Genomic DNA, 21,716 nt, shown 5'->3' with positions numbered 1-21,716 from the left:
GCCAGGATGGTCTCGATCTCCTGACCTCGTGATCCACCCACCTCGGCCTCCCAAAGTGCTGGGATTACAGGCGTGAGCCACCGCACCCAGCCGAGTGCATTTTTTTTTTAAGTTTATAAAGCTTTATTAAACATTTCAAACAGCTGTGCAACGAACACATCAAATAAAAGTCCTAGAATAGCAGTCCAGATGTTTCACAAGTATGGCCTCACAGTCCCATTCCCTAGATGGACTGCCTCCAGTTCTGTTCTCTGCCTGTCCCACCTCCCTTTCCTCTCCAATTACTTTTGCAGAGCTTATTATATTTTTAAAAACCAGTCACTTACTTATTTATTTTTTTGCAGGGGAGGAATGAAGGGTTTTATTGAAAATGAAAGTACACTCTGCAGTGTGGGCCTGAGCATAGGGGCTCAAAGGCCCTGTTACAGAGTTTTTGTGAGTTTAAATACCCTCTACTTGGGGTATGCCTTATGTAAATGAAGAGGATGAGGTAAAGTTACAAGTCATTTACTCGGTGTATGTCCTATGGAGAGGATATTTCCTGTTATAGCTGAATTGTGAATTGGTCTTCTGTTCCCTGCTTCCAGACTGTATTTTCCTGCCTCATCTCTCCACTTAGAGATGTGATCCTCATAAATCTTTATGGGAGGCAGAGGGACCGATGGTCTTTTTTTCTGTAACTGCTTCATGCTGACTTGGGGCATAGTCTCTACCTATTGGGGATCACGGAACTCTCGCCCTGCTCTATCTAATGGAGGCAGGGTAGTTTCTTGATGGCTAGGGGTGGTGTCTTTGCCTGGAACTGGCTGGAGCCTTTGTTGCATGGTCATCTGAAGCTTGATGGTCTGTCAAGGGTTCCAGTGGGTGCACAGTTCCAAAAGTGTGGAGGGACCCTTCTCAGTTGTGAGACCATGAACCCAAAGTTCAAGGTCCCAAAGCTTTGTTGTGGTGTGGATGGCAAGGACAGTCTTTCTTTCTTTTTTTTTTTTTTTTTTGAGACGGAGTCTCACTCCATTGCCCAGGCTGGAGTGCAGTGGCACGATCTCAGCTCACTGCAACCCCCGCCTCCCAGGTTCAAGCAATTCGCCTGCCTCAGCATCCCAAGTAGCTGGGACTGTAGGCACGTGCCACCATGCCCGGCTAATTTTTTTGTATTTTTAGTAGAGACGGGGTTTCACCGTGTTAGCCAGGATGGTCTCGATTTCCTGACCTTGTGATCCGCCTGCCTTGGCCTCCCAGAGTGCTGGGATTACAGGCGTGAGCCACCATGCCCGGCGACTGACTGTCTTTGACGTTTCCAGAAGATTCAAACCATAAAACGCTTTCTTAGGGCCGGGCACAGTGGCTTACACGTGTAATCCTAGCACTTTGGGAGGCCGAGGCGGGCAGATCACGAGGTCAGGAGTTTGAGACCAGCCTAACATGGTGAAACCCCCGTCTCTACTAAAATTACAAAAATCAGCCGGGTGTGGTGGCACGCATCTGTAATTCTAGCTACTCAGGAGGCTGAGGCGGGAGAATTGCTTGAACCCAGGAGGCGGAGGTTGTGGTGAGCCAAGATCGCGCCACCACACTCCAGCCTGGATGACAGTGAGACTCCGTCTCAAAAAAAAAAAGGTTTTCTTTACCCTTTTGCCAGCATGCCAGGCTTCTGAGTTCTCGCTCCCTGAGTGGCCGTAGTGAACCTGCTTGACTCTTCCTCCTGGCTGGCTCACCAAAATATGTTAACGGTGGAGAGTATCCAAGTTCTTGGCGTCTTGAACAAAGAATTGGACAAAATGCTCAAAGCAAGGAAGGAGCGAAGGGTTTTATTGAAAATGAAAGTACCACTCCACAGTCTGGGAGTGGGCCTGAGCATAGGGGCTCAAAGGCCTACTTATTTATTTTTTGAGACAGTCTCACTTTGTCATCCAGGCTGGAGTGCAGTGGTGCAGTCTCAGCTCACTGCAACCTCCACCTCCCGAGTTCAAGTGATTCTTGTCCCTCACCCTCCCTGAGTAGCTGGGATTACAGGCGTGCACCACCACACCCAGCTAATTTTTGTATTTTTAGTAGAGACGGGGTTTTACCATAATGGCCAGGCTGGACTCGAACTCCTGACCTTGGGTGATCCACCCACCTTGGCCTCCCAAGGTGCTGGGATTACAGATGTGAGCCACTGCGCCCGGCCCACTTGTTTATTAGATAAATAAAACTTGGAGTGCCTTTGTGTTAGCCACTGTTCTAGGTGCTAGCAGTGTAGTCAAGCAGGTAGTTGGATTTATAACTAGGATTTAGAGCAACTGTCCTGGCTGGATTTATGAACATGATATTTTAAAGTCAAAGGACCAAACCTTGAACCTTGGAGTTCTTCAGTGTGTAGAGATTGGGAAGATCAGAAGGAATCAATAACGACTGAGAAGGGAGCATTCATTCATTGGAATAGGGGGAAGAACCATCAGACTGTGTCCTGGAAGCAAGGGAGGAGAGTATTTCAGGGAGGAAGCATTAGCATTAGCGTTGATTATAATTCATATCTATTGTTTTTTTTTTTTTTGAGATGGAGTTTCTCTCTTATTGCCTAGGCTGGAGTGCAGTGGCGCGATCTTGGCTCACCACAACCTCCGCCTCCCAGGTTCAAGTGATTCTCCTGCCTCAGCCTCCCAAGTAGCTGAGACTACAGGCGCACATAACCATGCTCAGCTAATTGTTGTATTTTTAGTAGAGATGGAGTTTCACTATGTTGGCCAGGTTGGTCTCGAACTCCCGACCTTGTGATCTGCCTGCGTCAGCCTCCCAAAGTGCTGGGATTACAGGCGTGAGCCACCATGCCCAGCCTAATTAATATCTATTCTTATTTCCTTTGCAATGCTATTTCTCTTTCTTTTCTTTTCTTTTCTTTTTTTTTTTGAGACAGGGTCTGGCCCTGTTGCCCAGACTGCAGTGCAATGGCATGGTCATGGCTCACTGCAGCCTCTACCTCCTGGTCTCAAGTGATCCTTCCACCTCAGCACCCCCCAAGTAGCTGGGACTACAGATGTGGGCCACCATGCCCGTCTCATTTTTTAATTATTTTGTAAAGACAGAGTTTTGTCATGTTGCTCAGCGTGGTCTCGAACTCCTGGGCTCAAGCGATCTGCCTGCATTGGCCTCTCAAAGTGTTGGGTTTACAGGTGTGAGGCACTGCACCTGGCCACAATGCCATTTTTTTTAAAGGGTTCCTGTGATTTCCTCTTCACTTAACTTTTTCCTTGTTATAGGTCACCATTACAAATTTGAAATAAAGCATACGTTTGGATTTGGGAGTTAGAGAACTAGAAGTACAAGGTTGTTAACAAGAATAGACTTTATAGGCAATATTTGTTTATATAGTTAATGATATCAGCAAAACTTAAGAGCTAGTTATGGCTGGGCGTGGTGGCTCACGCCTGTAATCCCAGCACTTTGGGAGGCCGAGGTGGGTGGATCACCTGAGGTCAGGAGTTCGAGACCAGCCTGGCCAACATGGTGAAACCCTGTCTCTACTAAAAATACAAAAATTAGCCAGACGTGGTGGCGTGCACCTGTAATCCCAGCTATTCGGGAGGCTGAGGCAGGAGAATCGCTTGAATCCGGGAGGTGGAGTGGAGATTGTGCCACTGCACTCCAGCCTGGGTGACAGAGCGAGACTGTCTCAAAAAAAAAAAAAAAAAGGAGTTAGTTATATTCCCACTTTTATTACTAAAGATTTAGATTTATTCACAGAAGAAAATGCTCACAAGGCTGGGCGCAGTGCCTCACACCTGTAATCCCTGCACTTTGGGAGGCCAAAGTGGGTGGATCACCTGAGATCAGGAGTTGGAGACCAGCCTGGCCAACATGGTGAAACCCCGTCTCTACTAAAACTACAAAAAATTAGCTGGGTGTGGTGGCAGGAGCCTGTAATCCCAGCTATTTGGGAGGCTGAGGCAGGAGAATCGCTTGAACCCAGGAGGCGGAGGTTGCAGTGAGCCAAGATGGCGCCATTGCATTCCAGCCTGGGCTACAAGAATGAAACTGTTTCAGGAAAAAAAAAAGAAAGAAAGAAAAAGAAAATGCTCACAAAGCAAAAAAGCCAAAATTCAAATTCACTTGCACCTTCAAAAAATCATGTTATTTCAGTGGTTTTTTTTTCCTTTGAAAGAAAATAAATAATTTAAAAATATAGTCAGTCTTTGACTTTGGAACTGCTGACCAGTAAACAATTCTTTTAGAAAAATTAGTGGTTGGTAGATTCTCCCAATCTTTCCCACTTTCCAGTCAGTGCTTTAAAAAGAAAAAAATCCAAGTAGGGTTTTCAGATATAGAGTCCCTAGGATCATGGCTGTCTTTGATTTTTCTTCACATGCTTCTGAATATCTTTCCCTCTCTTGTTATTACATCTTTCCCTCTGTGACAGCCTTCTTCTCTCCTAGATTTGTCATACCCACCCCTCCTCACCTCCCTACCCCAAAATAAAAGTTAAAATTTACATTTATAGCAAGGTATCTATGCTTTTATTCATGGAGTGGGAATTGTTTTCCCATGAGTACTTTTAAATACAGGCTGTTATAGGCGAGACTAATTGAAGATATTTATGCAGAAATTTCTTGAAAGTTGGCTGGGTGTGGTGGCTCCCACCTGTAATCCCAGCACTTTGGGAGGCAGAAGCATTGCTTCCAGGAGTTTGAGACCAGCCTGGGCAACAAACGTAGTGGTACCTCATCTCTACAAAAAATACAAAAATTAGCTGGTCATGGTGGCATGCCTCTGTAGTTCTAGGTGCTCTGTAGCCTCAGGTGGGAGGACTGCTTGAGCCTGGGAGGTTGATTTGGCAAGTGAGCCTTTTTTTTTTTTTTTTTTTTGAGATGGAGTCTTGCTCTTGTTGCCCAGGCTGGAGTGCAGTGGCACAATCTCGGCTCACTGTAACCTCCGTCTCCCGAGTTCAAGCGATTCTCCTGCCTTAGCCTCCTGAGTAGCTGGGATCGCAGGCACCCGCCACCACGCCTGGCTGATTTTTGTAATTTTAGTAGAGAGGGGCGGTTTCGCCATGTTGGCCAGGCTGGTCTTGAACTCCTGGTGTTGTGATCCGCCTGTCTCAGCCTCCCAAAGGGCTGGGATTACAAGTGTGACCTACCGTGCCCAGTCTCGGCAGTGAGTCTTAATTGTGCCACTACACTCCTGTGAAACTGAGCAAGACCCTATCTCAGAAAAACCCAAAGCAACACCTCCAACAACAAAAATTCTTAAAAGTGAAAAGAAAGGCTGGGCACGGTGGCTCACGCCTGTAATCCCAGAACTTTGGGAGACCGAGATGGGTGGATCACAGGGTCAGGAGTTCAAGACCAGCCTGGCCAACATAGTGAAACCCCGTCTCTACTAAAAATTACAAAAAATAAGCCAAGCATGGTGGCGGACGCCTGTAATCCGAGCTACTCGGGAAGCTGAGGCGGGAGAATGGTGCGAACCCGGGAGGCGAAGGTTGCAGTGAGCTGAGATTATACCATTGCACTCCAGCCTGGGCAATACTGTGAGACTGTGTCTCAAAAATAAATAAATAAATAAATAAAAAAGTGAAAAAAAAATTGACTGGGGACCAGGTGTGGTGTCTTGTACCTGTAATTTTGCACTTTTGGAGGCTGAGGAATGAGTATTACTTGAGGCCAGGAGTTTGAGATCAGTCATATTTTTTATATGTCTCTAAAATAAATATTTACATATATATGTATATATGAAAAAAATGAAGACTTTCAAATATATTCATAGCCCTTTATTTGGTAATTCGTTAATTTATTCAAGAAATGTATATTAAATGTATATACTGCACTCTAGGTACTTGAGGTGGTGGTACAGCATTTAACAGCCACATTTGATGTCGTCAATTGAGTTTAAAGTCTATCAAGAGAAAGAGGTAATAAATAATTAACTACAATGGTAGTAAGTTAGGCCTTGATTTTTGGGGCCTACCCAATTAATTGGCACATAACGCTCAGTAAAATCTAGCTGGTTTTACTAGAAAAACATCTGATCCAGACAGTTAATTCATATTCATGTGTTCCAGACTTTCCTTTGTAAAATATTTCTTTTTTTTGGGACGGAGTCTCGCTCTGTCACCCAGGCAGGAGTGCAGTGGCAGGATCTCAGCTCACTATAAGCTCTGCCTCCTGGGTTCATGCCATTCTCCTGCCTCAGCCTCCCGAGTAGCTGGGACTACAGGTGCCTGCCACCACGCCCGGCTAATTTTTTTGTATTTTTAGTAGAGACGGGATTTCACAACGTTAGCCAGGATGGTCTTGATATCCTGACCTCGTGATCTGCCCGCCTCGGCCTCCCGAAGCGCTGGGATTACAGGCATGAGCCACTGCGCCCGGCCTGTAAAGTATTTTGTTGACTGAAAACCAGAAAATGAAACCTCCAAAAGCAGAAATTTTGCAGGTAATAATTAGGAGAATGCAGGTTGTGGCATCAGATTGTGTAAGTTTGAATTATTGTTCCATTATTAGTTGAACATTCTTGGGCAGTTCTTAAACTCAGGCCTGTAATCACAATATTGTCACGAGGTAATTCATGTAGACACGGTGTCTCACACGGTGTCTTGGACATTGTAAGTGCTTGTTGTTCTCATTTGTTGTTGTTTTACCTTTTAAGCATACATTTCTGTATGTTTTAATGTTAATTTAGGGAAAGAGAACAACCACCACGTTTTGCTCAACCTGGGACATTTGAATTTGAGTATGCATCTCGATGGAAGGCTCTTGATGAAATGGAAAAGCAGCAGCGTGAGCAGGTTGATAGAAACATCAGAGAAGCCAAAGAGAAACTGGAGGCAGAAATGGAAGCAGCTAGGCATGAACACCAATTAATGCTAATGAGGCAAGGTAAATATGGATTTTCATGTACATGTGGTATGATTTTTTTTTTCCCTTAAGTGTGTGTACCATTCATGTACTACTGTGTAAAGTGCCATTTAGGAGTTTAGAGGTAAAGTTGGAACTCAACATATTAGGTGTGAAAATCTCCCTTTTCCCAGATAACTTCCCTTAAAAAAAAGAACACAACTTACTAAAAGTTAGTTTTACTTGACGGGCGCGGTGGCTCACGCCTGTAATCCCAGCACTTTGGGGGGCCAAGGCAGATGGATCACCTGAGGTCGGGAGTTCGAGACCTGCCTGACCAACCTGGAGAAACCCCATCTCTACTAAAAATACAAAATTAGCCAGCCGTGGTGGTGCGCACCTGTAATCCCAGCTAGTTGGGAGGCTGAGGCAGGAGAATTGCTTGAACCCGGGAGGTAGAGGTTGCTGTGAGCTGAGATCGCATCATTGTGCTCCAGCCTGGGCAACAAGAGCAAAACTGTCTCAAAAAAAAAATTAAAAAGTTAGTTTTACTTATGCAAGCAGTAGTGTTGGAGGTAATTTGCGGGTATTAAATTGTGCCAGTATCAAATACATGATTCTCTTGGCAAACAGAAACATAGCAGGCAAATTTTGGTAGGTAGACATGGCACATACAGGATTTTTTGTTTGATGAGAAGAATTTGGACAAATGCTGGCTATTTAAGATTATTATTACATGTTTGAAAGAGTACAGATGGATAATCTGGTAGAGATGAAAAAGATTCATTTGTACACATTGATATGGGGATTTAGGAAAAGTTAGTAATTGGTAAGTGTATATATATATATATATTTTTGTTTGTTTGTTTTTTGTTTTTTTTGAGATGGAGTCTTGCTCTGTTGCCCAGGCTGGAGTGCAGTGGCGCCATATTGTCTCCCTGCAGCCTCCACCACCTGGGTTCAAGCAATTCTCCTGCCTCAGCCTCCCGAGTAGCTGGGATTACAGGCACACACCACAATGTCCGGCTAGTTTTTTTGTATTTACCTTCTCTTGGCTGTCCCCAGAGATCAAGGTACCACAGCTGCCTGTCTGAATTTCTGCAGTAGCATTCCTGCTGAACGTTTCTGCCATCTAATCTTGGCTTTCTTTAAACCGTTCTGTGTACTAGATTCAGTATTTTTCTTAGCAGGTGAAATTTTGATCATTCTTCTCTAAATCCTTTTGGGTAAATTCTCACTTGCTTTAGAATGAAGTGTAGGTTTTTTTGTTATGTGTGTTCTAGTATTTCGTACATCACTATTCAGTAAATGTTTATTGAGCACTTATGATGAAGTCATTGAGTAACTGTGCTGATGCCACATACGTTAAAACAAAATCGAGCCCAGCAAACCATAGAAACTAGTTAGGTGTTTTGGTTTAATTTGGACCCTAAGCTTGGTAGTTCTATAAGTTCACTTTTCTAACAAAATTGAATTCATTTATATCTTAGAGTAGATTTAAAGGTAAACTGTCATTAGCCAGATGTGGTGGCGGGCGCCTGTAATCCCAGCTACTTGGGAGGCAGGGAATTACTTGAACCCAGGAGGTGGAGGTTGCGGTAAGCCGAGATCACGCCACTGCACTCCAGCCTGGGCGACAGACAGAGCGAGACTCCATTTCAAAAAAAAAAAAAAAGATAAACTGTCTTTTATTTTGTGGAAAATGTGCAAGTTGTTATTTGAGATAAAGGTACTGAATCATTCATTAGCTGTTAGATCTGGAAGAGAGATTTTTTTTTTTTTTTTTGAGACAGAATCTCACTCTGTCGCCCAGCCTGGAGTGCAGTGGCATGATCTCGGCACACTGCAACTTCCGCCTCCCATGTTGAGGCAATTCTCGTGCCTCACCCTCCCTAGTACACCCTCCCTGGGACTACAGGTGCGTGCTACCACGCCCAGCTAATTTTTTTGCTTTTTTAAAATTTGAGATGGAGTCTCACTGTTGTCGCCCAGGCTGGAGTGCATTGGTGTGATCTTAGCTCACTGCAACCTCCACCTCGGGGGTTCAAGTAATCCTCCTGCCTCCGCCTCCTAAGTGGCTGGGATTACAAGTGTATGCCTCTACACTCGGCTAATTTTTTGTATTTTTAGTAGAGATGGGGTTTTACCATGTTGGCCAGGCTGCTCTTGAACTCCTGACCTCAGGTGATCCGCCCGCCTCGGCCTCCCAAAGTGCTGGGATTGCAGGCATGAGCCACTGTGCCTGGCCAGTTTTTTTGTATTTTTAGTAGAGATGGGATTTCTCCATGTTGGCCAAGCTGGTCTTGAACTCCTAGCCTCGAGTGATCTACCCACCTTGGCCTCCCATAGTGCTGGGATTACAGATATGAGCCACCGTGCCCAGCCAAGAGATCTTAAAGTTTGTCCAGTCCAGTGGTTTTGAAATTTTATTACCCATTAGAATCATCTTGGAAATTTTTGAAATTTCGTTTCCTGGGCTCTGTGGTTACCCTAGCCCTTCTGTTCAATATGAATTGTTTTCTCTTAGCCTGCTAGGCACTTCTCTGCCATTTTGTTTCCCACCTACCTACAGTTGTGCCCTAGTTAGATAACAATGTTGATTAGATGTGGAAGCATCTGTACTAAAGATTTGTGTTGATGCTACGAACAGTGGTATAACATTCACTAATTTAGCACATCTTTAATGTCAGTTATGGGAGACATGTCTGAGGTACTGAGGATATATTGATGGCAAAGAACATTTCCTTAGACTTCAGTTTTTTCTTGAGCTCTTAGAAAACTTTGCCTGAAGGTATTTTGATGTTTGAAGTAGAGTAATTTTGCAGTTATTTCCCATGAGTTTTTTTGTTGTTTATCGTGTGTGTTCATTTAAAGCCTCTGTTAACAATATCTTAGTTTATAATATTAGAAAATCACATTGCTTGTTGAATCCTACTCCCTGCTTCTGGGTTCACTTGTGCCGAAGTACTTGTACTTATTTGATCCAAAGTCTGCAATTGGTAAATTTCAGTTGTAGTTTGTTTAAAAATTTAAAAAGTTACAACTTTCTCCCATTTGTTCTACAATTTTGTATTTCTTTTTTTTTTTCTTTTTTTGAGACAGACTCTTGCTCTTCGCCCAAGCTGGAGTGCAGTGGTGCAACTTCAGCTCATTGTAGACCTACCTCTTGCCTTCTGAGTTCAAGCGATTCTCCTGCCTCAGCATCCCAAGTAGCTAGGATTACAGGTGTACACCACCACGCCCAGCTAATTTTGTATTTTTAGTAGAGATGGGGTTTCATCATGTTGGTCAAGCTGGTTTCGAACTCCTGACCTCAAGTGATCTACCTGCCTTGACCTCCCACAGTGCTGGGATTACAGGCATAAGCCACTGTACCCGGCCTACAATTTTGTATTTCATCCAGCATTTCTAAGGATGTATTCAGGTTGAGGAGAGACTGTAATTAATCTTAGTTGTGTGGTTCCGCAGAAACATGTATCATGACATATCATGGAAGGAGAAATCTCAAACAATACAGAAAAATTGTCCCCCTATTTACTACCTTCTGCTTTTTTGTAGGAATCACTTTTTGTATTTTAAGTCTCTTTTGTATTCTTTAATGAAAAAAAATTTGCATATGTCATTAGATGTTTTTGTGTATTTGTAAGCAAAAAACCCAAAAATCGTAACAACAAAACAAACTGGCTGGGTGTAGTGGCTCATGCCTGTAATTCTAGCACTGGGAAGCTGAGGTGGGAGGATTGCTTGAGTCCAGCAGTTCAAGACTAACCTCAGTAACACAGTGAGACCCCGTCTCTACCAAAAGTACAGAAATTAGCTGGGCATGGTGGCATGTGTCTGTAGTTGCAGCTACTTGGGAAGGCTTAGGTGGGAGGATCACTTGAGCCTGGGAGCTTGAGGCTGTAGTGAGCTGTAATTATGCCACTGTACTCCAGCCTGGATGACAGAACGAGACTCTGTCTCTAAAAAAAAGCTGTTTACCTTTTCTGTACCTTTTTTACTTTCTACATGAATATATATGTAAATATCCGCCTTATATTTTTAATGGTTGTATGATATTCTTTTATATGGGTACAATTAGTTTAGTTCATCCTCTTTCGATAACAATTTCTCTTTTCAGTTTGTTTTTAAAAGCAGTGCTGCAAAGAATATATATGCATGTATCAGAAAATTTTTGTAAATGTTGATTTTTTTTTATTTTTTTGAGACGGAGTTTCACTCTTGTTGCCCAGGCTGGAGTGAAATGGCGCCATCTCGGCATACTGCAACCTCCACCTCCTGGGTTCAAGCGAGTCTCCTGCCTCAGCCTCTTGAGTAGCTGGGATTACAGGCATGCGCCACCACGCCTGGCTAATTTTGTATTTTAGTAGAGATGGGGTTTCTCCATGTTGGTCAGGCTGGTCTCGAACTCCTGACCTCAAGTGATCCATCCGCCTCAGCCTCCCAAGGTGTTGGGGTTACAGGCGTGAGCCACCACACCCAGCCGTAAATGTTGATTCTTATTGAACACATGGGTACCTTACAATAATAATTGTTTGATTTATACTTTACTGATAATTATTTAGTCCTTTCTAGATTCAACTCCCATTACATTAAAAAAAAATTTTTTTTTGAGATGGAGTCTCACTCTGTTGCCCAGGCTGGTGTTCAGTGGCACAATCTCAGCTCACTACAACCTCCGGTTCCCGGGTTCAAGTGATTCTCCTCCCTCAGGCATGAGCCACCATACCCGGCTAATTTTTGTATTTTTGGTAGAGACAGGGCTTTGCCATGTTGGCCAGGCTGGCCTCAAACTCCTGGCCTCAAGTGATCTGCCCGCCTCAGCCTCCCAAAGTGTCAGGATTACAGGCGTGAGCCACTGCGCCTGGCTCCATTACATTTATTTTTTTTTAACATTTATTTATTTATTTAGAGACGGAGTCTCGCTCTGTTGCCCAGGCTGGAGTGCAGTGGCGCAATCTCGGCTTGCTGCAACCTCTGCCTCTGTGTTTCAAGTGATTCTCCTGCCTCAGCCTCTTGAGTAGCCTGGATTACAGGTGCATGCCACCACAGTCGGCTAATTTTTGTATTAGTAGTAGAGATGGGGTTTCACCATGTTGGTCAGGCTGATCTTGAACTCCTGACCTCGTGATCCGCCCACCTCAGCCTCCCAAAGTGCTAGGATTATAGGTGTGAGCTGCTCGGGTAGCTGAGGCAGGAGAATTGCTTGAACTAGGGAGTCGGAGGTTGCAGTGAGCCAAGATCGCACCACCGCACTCCAGCCTGGCGACAGAGCGAGACTCCGTCTCAAAAAAAAAAAAAAACAAAAAACAAAACAAATATGTTGCTGTGAGCCCTTCTTAAAGAAATCAACAGAGGATAAACATCACATAAGTGAAGAACAGAACAGTCATGCCTGAACCTACTTGAGATATTAGGATTTAAATACATGTGAGGTTTATGATTAAAGAACATTAATGCCGACAGGAGATCGAGACCATCCTGGCTAACATGGTGAAACCCCATCTCTATTGGAAATACGAAAAATTAGCCAGGCCTGGTGGCATGCGCCTGTAGTCCCAGCTACTTGGGAGGCTGAGGCGGGAGAATTGCTTGAACCCAGGAGGTGGAGGTTGCAGTGAGCCGAGATCACGCCACTGCACTCCAGCCAGGGCGACAGAGCGAGACTCCCATCTCAAAAAAAAAAAAAAAAATTAATTCAGTGTCATAAATCTGGACAGATCAGCGGTAAAATAAAAACTGAAAGAAAAATAAAGAGACTAGTATTTTTAGAAAATAAAATTGTTAGATCAGAAGTTATACATTCAGTTTTCATGACTTGTGCAATTTTAAATTGAGAAAACACTGTCTTACAGTCTAGCAAATCAAAATTTTAGTTTGTTTATATTCCTTTTTTCTGTACCTGTATTTATGATACATTGAAATTATAGCATATAATTTCATGTAATTTTATCATTAAATTTGTTAGGACAGCATTTTAATTAATTAATTAATTTGAGACAGTCTTGCTGTGTCACCCAGGCTGGACTGCGTTGGCATAATCTCTGCTCACTGCAACCTGTGCCTCCCAGGTTCAAGTGATTCTTCTGCCTCATCCTCCTTGAGTAGCTGGGACTACAGGCGTGTGCCACCATGCCCGGCTTATTTTTGTAGTTTTAATAGAGACAGTATTTTGCCATGTTGGCCAGGCAGGTCTCAAACTCCTGACCTCAAGTGATCCACCCGCCTCAGCCTCCCAAAGTGCTGGGATTACTTTCGGAGGCCGAGGCAGCCTCCCACTTTGGTAAGCCACTGTGCCCAGCCAGGAAAGCATTTCAAAGTGTTATTTGGTTTAGTAAGTAATAAGTAATACGGTAGATGATGCCTTCATGACTGTAGATGGCTTTATTTTATTAAGAAAAATTCCTGAGTGTAATTTCCTGGATCAAAAGATAAAGACATCTCTAGTTGGGCCGGGCGCGGTGGCTCACGCCTTTAATCCCAGCACTTTGGAAGGCCAAGGCGGGTGGATCACAAGGTTACGAGTTCAAGACCAGCCTGGCCAAGATGGTGAAACCTCATCTCTACTAAAAATACAAAAATTAGCTGGGCGCGGTTGTGGGCGCCTATAATCCCAGCTACTTGGGAGGCTGAGGCAGGAGAATTGCTTGAACCTGGTAGGCAGAGGTTGCAGTGAGCCGAGACCTCGCCATTGCATTCCAGCCTGGGCAACAAAGCGAGACTCTGTCTCAAAAAAAAGAAAAAAAAGAAAAAAAAAGACATCTCTAGTTATGTACTTTTTACAGTTTTTTCCCCTAGAAAGATATTATCATGGCAGTGTACAGATGTATAAGCTTTAGTGAAATATCAGGAACTTTGGGTATTAGGAACTTTAAAAAATATATAATTTAGTCAACATAAAATGGTAGTTTTAAGTTTATAGTTCTTTTAAGTATTAGGTAATTGTGCTTATTTGATAATTTCATTGTTGGAGCCTTTGAGCTAATTATACCAGTGTTACAAGTAAGGTGATAAGATCTGAGAGGTTAAAAGCCTGTCAGTCCTGGCTGTTGGGGAGACTGAGGTGGGAAGATCTCTTGAGCCCAGGTTTTTGAGGCTGTAGTGAGCTACCATCATGCCACTCTACTCCAGCCTGGGTGCCAGAGTGAGACCCTGTCTCTGAGAGAAAAAACAAAAAAGGTATTTAAGTAATTTTTTTGTTTTTGAGATGGAGTTTCGCTCTTGTTGCCCAGGCTGGAGTGCAATGGTGTGACCTCAGCCCACTGCAGCCTCCGCCTCCCGGGTTCAAGTGATTCTCCTGCCTAAGCCTCCTGAGTAGCTCTGATTACAGGCATGCGCCACCACGCCTGGCTAATTTTTGTGTTTTTAGTAGAGACGGGGTTTCTCCATGTTGGTCAGGCTGGCCTCCAACTCCCGACCTCAGGTGATCCGCCTGCCTCAGCCTCCCAAAGTGCTGGGATTACAGGTGTGAGCCATTACTTAAATACTGGTCAGGTATTTAAGTAATTCTAATGAGTATTTAAGGTTGAGAATTATGTTATAAAGGTTCGAAATAATTGCGGTCATGTTTAACATTTTTCAGATAATCAAGTGTTTTCTCTATGGGCCTATTATGAGAACTACCTGGGCCCTGTCTCATATACCAAAACAGACTTTTCTTAGCAACATCCCCAAATGCATATTTTTAAGTTTTCCAATTGAGTCTGATCAACTAGGTTTGGCATACTTTTTTGAAAGAGCTTTGGAATAAGGAGAGGTTTGGCCTGGCATCCCAGTTGAATCATGTAATAGCTGGAGCAACTTTATAATCTGTCTGAATCCTTTTTTTTTGCATAATTTATAAATGTCTGTTTTTAATCTGTAAAATGGGGAGAACAATATTTACCTTGTTATGGTTATGATGCCTGTCTTGCTATTGTTATGAAGTTTGGGTTATTGGTACCTTAGATTAACTTTAGCTGTAGTATTATATGAGTCAACTCTTGAGTACAGGTGTTTATTAAGAAACATTCAGTTGAGGTAATTTGTTCACTTTAGACATTTCAGATATAAAGAGAAAAGGAAAATAAAAGCAACCAGCAATTGTGCCATCCAGAGTATTTTAACATTTTATTATTTTAAAATATATGCATATATACATACATAATTTTATACAAAATCACACACAAAGATTTTTAGCTTTGGAGATTTTTAACGTGGAAAGTTTATACACTACTTCTTAGATGTGCAATACAAATGTACTTTTCATTATCTTACTCTGGAACCCCCCCATTCTTGATATGGCAGGGATTGGTGATAGTGGAAATGCTTTTTTGTTGTTGAAAAGTCTTGTTTATATCAGCATTTATCTTTGCTTTCTTCTTTGAAGAATTGTCTCCTCACTCTTCTTCGTAAGACATTGGCTTAGTTAGGGAGGAATTTCATGCTAATCGTGTTGCGAGGGAGGTTCCTTGGGTTTTATGTCATGATTCCTGTTTGGTCTGGTTCTTAAGTGCTCTCTGCTGGTGTCTCTGAAGGCATGTGTTGGGGCTTTGCATTTGCTGCTGAAAACAATTACAATTTGTTATTTTATTTTAGAGACAGTTCTGCTGTGCAACCCAGGCTGGAGTGCAGTGGCGCAATTTTGGCTCACTGCAACCTCCGCCTCCCATATTCAAGTGATTCTCCTGTCTCAATCTCCCGAGTAGCTGGAATTACAGGCGTGCACCTCCATACCCAGCTAATTTTTGTATTTTTAGTAGAGATGGGGTTGCGCCATGTTGGCCATGCTGGTCTCGAACTCCCAACCTCAGGTGATCCGCCTGCCTTGGCCTCCCAAAGTGTTGAGATTCCACCTGTGAGGCACCACACCTGGCCCTGATTTTTGTATTTTTTGTAGACAGGGTTTCACTGTGTTACTCAGGCTGGTCTCGAACTCCTCGGCCGAAGTGATCCGCCTGCCTCGGCCTCCCAAAGTGCTGGGATTACAGGCACAAGCCAGCCTACCTATTTTAATTTCTTGACGTAAAGATGAATTTTTATTTATTTATTTGTTTGTTTTTTTTTTTTTTTTGAGATTGAGTCATCTCACTCTGTTGCCCACCTGGGCTTCCCAAAGTGTTGGGATTATAAGGCGTGAGCCACCGCGCCCAGCCAAGATGAGTTTATTACGTGTTTTTCCCCTAACAATGAACTTGTTTTTGAGATGGAGTCTTGCTCTGTCATTCAGGCTGGAGTGCAGTGGCACAATCTCAACTCATTGCATCCTCCACCTCCCGGGTTCAAGTGATTCTCCTGCCTCAGCCTTCTGAGTAGCTGGGACTACAGGCGCGCGCCACCATGCCCAGCTAATTTTTGTAGTTTTGGTAGAGTTGGGGTTTTGCCTTGTTGGCCAGGCTGGTCTCAAACTCCTGGCCTCGAGTGATACGCCTGCCTTGGCCTCCCAAATTACTGGGATTGTAGGCGTGGGCCACCGCACCTGGCCAAGAATGAACTTGAATACTCTTTTTTATATACGTGAAGAAACGTGCTCAGAAAGGATATTTATTTAATTACCCAGCTTACATTATTATAAAATGAGTAATATACCAATATATTGCCAGTGATAGAGAACTTCTATGCTTATTGGTATAAAAATATGGAAAGGGAAACTAAAAATATTAATGTGCAGTCATTATTTTATAGATCTAATGAGGCGTCAAGAAGAACTCAGACGCTTGGAAGAACTCAGAAACCAAGAGTTGCAAAAACGGAAGCAAATACAACTAAGGTAAAAGAAGATCATTTTAAGAAACATGAATTGTATGTCTTATTAATAAAAACTCCCCACAACCTGTTACAAGTTGTATAAGTTGAGTATCACAGGAAAAATAGAAAAATTGCCCATTTTAACCACATACAGTGAATTACTTCATAATGTAGCATAATTCTTTGCTGGTTTTTAGCTGGTTAAGGGCACTTTGAATGCTAAACTTTGAAGTTAAACAAGGGTTTTAGGTATTATTATATGTAATTTATTATAAGAATATGCTGTGAATATCCATTTTTCCAGAGATGGATATATTTGCGTTGCTCTTATTTATTTTGTTATGTGTAAAACTCTACTATGAATATCTTTATGTAACTTTGTGCTTCTGATAATCTTTAAACAAGATTTCTGAGGCTGGGGGCAGTAGCTCATGCCTGTAATTCCAGCACTTTGGGAGGCTGAGGTGGGCAGATCACATGAGGTCAGGAGTTCGAGACCAGCTTGGCCAACATGGTGAAACCCTGTCTCTACTAAAACTAAAAAATTAGCTGGCTGTGGTGGCACGCGCCTGTAATCCCAGCTACTCAGGGCGTTGAGGCAGGAGAATCGCTTGAATCCAGGAGGCGGAGGTTGCAGTGATCTGAGATCTTGCCACTGCACTCCAGCCTGGGCTACACAGTGAGACTCCATCTCAAAAAAAAAAAAAAGATTTCTGGAAGTTGACTCCGTGTTAAAAGGGGTTATGGGGACTTAAAATCTCAGTACATAATAGACAATCGTGATGGTCAGCTTGAAATCTTTTAGGTTTAAGTAAGGATGTTTGAGAGAGTGGTTAATTCAAGATATATAAACCCACATTGATAGCTCACCTTGTGCCTGTGGTGTTTAATTGCAAAATATAATGGTATAAACATTACTCTTCAAAGGTTCAAAAATCATACTAGTTAGGAAATATTATAAACAAAGCTATGATAGTTAAAGCAAATGTAGAAATCTGTTTTTGAAAATAGTATTTGCTTTAAAAATGTAAGGTGCTTGTGATAAGAAAATAAGGTGTTCATGGGGAAGTAAAAGTAAAGAAAAAAGTGAAAAACCGTGAACAAATTTGAAGCTTCTCTGGTCTACAGATAGGTGATATTCTGTATATTTTGATGTATTTCTTCAAACTTTGTACCTGAGTTTATCAATTTATAAATATTTCTATGTGATTTTACTCTACCCAATTCATTCTTTTTTTTTTTTGAGAGGGAGTTTCGCTCTTGTTGCCCAGGCTGGAGTGCAATGGCGCGATCTCGGCTCACAGCAACCTCCGCCTCCCGGGTTCAAGCCATTCTCCTGCCTCAGCCTCCCGAGTAGCTGGGATTACAGGCATGTGCCACCATGCTCGGCTAATTTTGTACTTTTAGTAGAGACGGGGTTTCTCCATGTTGGTCAGGCTGGTCTCGAACTCCGGACCTCAGGTGATCCGCCTGCCTCGGCCTCCCAAAGTGCTGGGATTACAGGCGTGAGCCACCGTGCCCGGCCCCAATTCATTCTTAAATCATATTCCCTGGACAGACAGCATTAACATTTCACCTAGGGAACTGTTAGGAATGTAGTCTCAAGCCTCCCTGCAGAACTACTGAATGAGAAACAATAGTGGTGAGGCCCAGCCACCTGGAATCCTCCAGCATTCAGATAGATCTGAAAGCTTGAGAACTACTGTTTTTTTTTTTTTTTTTTTAAACAACTCTCAACATCATGAATGTGCCTTCCTCAGGAACCTTTTTTAAAACTTTTCTTTTTTCCTTTTTATATAGACATGTTCAAATCTCTTCTACTTTTTTTTTAAATTTTATTTTGGAGACGGAGTTTCGCTCTTGCTGCCCAGGCTTGAATGCAATGGTGCGATCTTGGCTCACTGTAACCTCTGCCTCCCAGGTCCCAGTGATTCTCCTGCCTCAGCTTCCTAGCTGGGATTACAGGCTTGCGCCACCATGCCCACCTTATTTTGTATTTTTAGTAGAGATGGGGCTTCACCATGTTGGCCAGGCTGGTCTTGAACTCCCGTCCTCAGGTGATCTACCTGCCTCGGCCTCCCAAAGTGCTGGGATTACAGGTGTGAGCCACCACGCCCGGCCAGATCTTTTCTATTTTTAACAAAGACAACGAAACCTCCTCTCCCCTAACATAAAGGCTTACCTGAATCTAGCTTTTTCCTCTTAAAACTTAGAGATGACAGCTAGGCTTTTTGAAATTATACCTACCCCTCATGTAAGCAAAAAATAAATCATTAAAACCAAACAATATGAGGGGTGGATTCCAAAATAGGATACAAAAATACAAGAAATTAACCTAATTGTCTTACAAATGAATAACATCATCACATTGAAAGGGGGTAGGGAAGAAAACAAGGAACCTAAATAACTGGAAAATAGTGTGTTGACTGGATATCATAATACTAATGATAAGAACCATACATAAATTCTGTAAGCTAGTTAGGCATATGGGCTAGTAGTTCTGAAACCACTTTGTGTGTATACGTTACATGAACAGATTAGTACCTACAGTCTTTTGTATCTGTGGGTTCTACATCTATGGATTCAGCCAACTGTGGATTGATAATATCTGGGGAAAAATTGTGTATATACTAACATTAACAGACTTTTTAAACTTGTCATTCTCTTTTTTTTTTTTTTTTGAGATGGAGTCTCGCTCTGTCGCCCAGGCTGGAGTGCAGTGGCGCAATCTCGGCTCACTGCAAGCTTCGCCTCCGAGTTCACGCCATTCTCCTGCCTCAGCCTCCCAAGTAGCTGGGACTATAGACGCGTGCCACCATGCCTGGCTATTTTTTTGTATTTTTAGTAGAGACGGGGTTTCACCGTGTTAGCCAGGATGGTCTCGAACTCGTGACCTTGTGATCCTCCCGCCTCAGCCTCCCAAAGTGCTGGGATTACAGGCGTGAGCCACTGCACCCGGCTAACTTGTCATTCTCTAAACCGTGCAGTATAACAACTATTTACATAGCCTTTATATTGTGTTAGGTATTATAAGTAATCTAGAGATGCTTTTAAGTGTGTAGGAGGACTTTTTGTTACTTGTCGTTCTCTGTAAACAGTGCTGTTTACATAGTCTTTACATTGTATTAGGTATTATAAGTAGAGATGCTTTTAAGTGTGTAGGAGGATGTGCATAGGTTATATGCGAATACTACACCATATGTCAGGGAGTTGAGCATCAGTGGATTCTGGTATCTGGGGGAGGTTCTGGAACCAATCCCCTGCACATACCAAGGTATGACTGTATATTGTGGATAATGAGACTCAAATTTCTCATCATTAGAGAAAGATGAACGGCTAAACTTAAAATCCTGTGTGAGTGTGATTTGAATCAGAGGTATGAACTCTGTGGTGTTTAATATTGACAAATACATGCAGAAATATAGATGTGTGTTTATGTATGGGTTAATATGTATACATATACTGTATTTTATTTTTAATTTAAAAAAATTATTTAAGAGACAAGGTCTTGCCCTGTCACTCAGGCTGAAGTGCAGTGTCTCAATCATAGCTGACTGTAACCTCGAACTCCTGAGCTCAAACAATCCTGCCTTAGCCTCCCAAGTAGCTGGGACTATAGGTGTTTACCACCACACCCAGCTAATTTTTTAATTTTTATTTTTTTATAGAGATGGGATTATGCTATGTTGCTTAGGCTGGTATCAAACTCCTGGCCTCAAGTGATCTTTCCTGCCTCAGCCTCCGAAAGCGCTGATATTACAGGCATGTGCCACCATGCCTGCCCCATATGCTGTATTTTATGGCTTTTTCTACTGAGAGGCCCTAGAAGCTTCAGTAACAATGAACATAACTGGTGCCTCGATCTTTAATAATAATTGCTACAGACAAGCTTTTTTGATGGATACCAAAGTTGGTGGGCAAAACTTGAGAAACAGGGTTTTTGCATAGTCTCAAATTTGTATACAAAAGGAAAAAATATTAAATTTAAAGGGAGAAACCCAGTAGACACCACCATAACCAAACACTAAATTTCATATCACCTGTAATAAGACAGTTAACATCAGGAGCCCCTTGATATGATTCACTGAATGGGATATAACATTATTTCTGTGATATTCTTACCAGATATGCATAATCATTCCAGTTATGAGAAAAAACAAACCCAAATTCAAGGACATTCTACAAAATAATCAGTTCTCTTTAATAGTGTCAGGTTCATGAAAGATAGAAAGACTGAACTGTTACAGACTGTTGGAGACTAAGGAGAAATAACGACTAAATGCAATGTGGGATTCTGGATAAGGTATTGGAACAGAAGAAAGGTGTTAGTGGGCCTGTGGTCCCAGCTACTTAGGAGGCTGAGGTGGGCGGATTGCTTGAACCCAGGAGTTCTGGGCTGTAATGCACTATGTCGATTGGATGTCCGCATTAAGTTTGGCATCAATATGGTGACCTTCTGGGAGCAGGGGACTACCAGGTTACCTAAGGAGGGGTGAACTGGCCCAAGTCAGAAATGGAGTAGGTAAAAACTCCCGTGCTGATTAGTAGTGGGATAGCGCCTGTGAATAGCCACTGCACTCCAGCCTCAGAAACATAGCAAGACCCTGTCTCTTAAAACAAATAAACAAGCAAGCAAACAAACAAAAAACATAGGAAGACCCTATCTCTTTAAAAAAAGATTAGTGAGGAAACTGGTGAAATTTTAGTAATGTCTATAGTTAATTATAATATTGTGCCAGTATTCATTCCTGGTTTTCATAATTTTGTACTATGGTTATACAAGGGGTTAATATTAGGGGAAGCTCGTGAGGCACATAGAGGATACGTTGCTGATTTAATCATAGGCTGAGATGTGGAATACTTGTTGCAGATGTAATTTTTTATTTTATTTTATTTATTTTTTCGAGACGGAGTCTCACTCTGTCGCCCAGGCTGGAGTGCAGTGGCGCGATCTCGGCTCACTGCAAGCTCTGCCTCCCAGGTTCATGCCATTCTCCTGCCTCAGCCTCCGGAGTAGCTAGGATTACAGGCGCCTGTCACCACACCTGGCTAATTTTTTGTATTTTTAGTAGAGATGGGGTTTCACTGTGTTAGCCAGGATGGTCTCGATCTGCTGACCTTGTGATCCGCCCGCCTCGGCCTCCCAAAGTGCTGGGATTACAGGCTTGAGCCACTGTG

General features: G+C 42.7%; 1 protein-coding gene and 1 pseudogene across 17 annotated transcripts in view, besides 1 other annotated feature; both read left to right on the top strand.

The window, feature by feature from the left end:
* PSPC1 (paraspeckle component 1) overlaps nt 1–21,716 on the top strand; it is a 111,741-nt gene that overhangs the window by 24,821 nt on the left and 65,204 nt on the right. For all 17 annotated transcript variants that reach the window (XR_007063689.1, XR_007063688.1, NR_003272.4 and 14 more), the window contains 2 exons: nt 6,658–6,854; nt 16,476–16,560. Coding sequence is in view for 9 of the 17 variants with exons in the window: in XM_047430435.1 (XP_047286391.1) it covers nt 6,658–6,854; nt 16,476–16,560 (282 nt within the window). In the remaining 8 variants the exon portion in view is untranslated. The remainder of the gene's footprint in view (nt 1–6,657; nt 6,855–16,475; nt 16,561–21,716) is intronic.
* Nucleotides 15,042–15,811: an enhancer, noted in NCBI's record as "H3K27ac hESC enhancer chr13:20316454-20317223 (GRCh37/hg19 assembly coordinates)". NCBI's record gives its function as "activates a minimal SCP1, AML or CMV promoter by ChIP-STARR-seq in primed H9 embryonic stem cells {active_cell/tissue: H9 hESC(primed)}" and the evidence as "EXISTENCE:reporter gene assay evidence [ECO:0000049][PMID:30033119]".
* Nucleotides 20,871–21,150, top strand: RN7SL166P (RNA, 7SL, cytoplasmic 166, pseudogene; annotated as a pseudogene).

This window comes from Homo sapiens, chromosome 13 (genome assembly GCF_000001405.40).
Source record: "Homo sapiens chromosome 13, GRCh38.p14 Primary Assembly".
In the NCBI taxonomy this organism is placed as follows: Eukaryota; Metazoa; Chordata; class Mammalia; order Primates; family Hominidae; genus Homo; species Homo sapiens.
The sequence above is the reverse complement of the archived record's forward strand: the minus strand, read 5'-3'. Positions and strand labels throughout refer to the sequence as shown.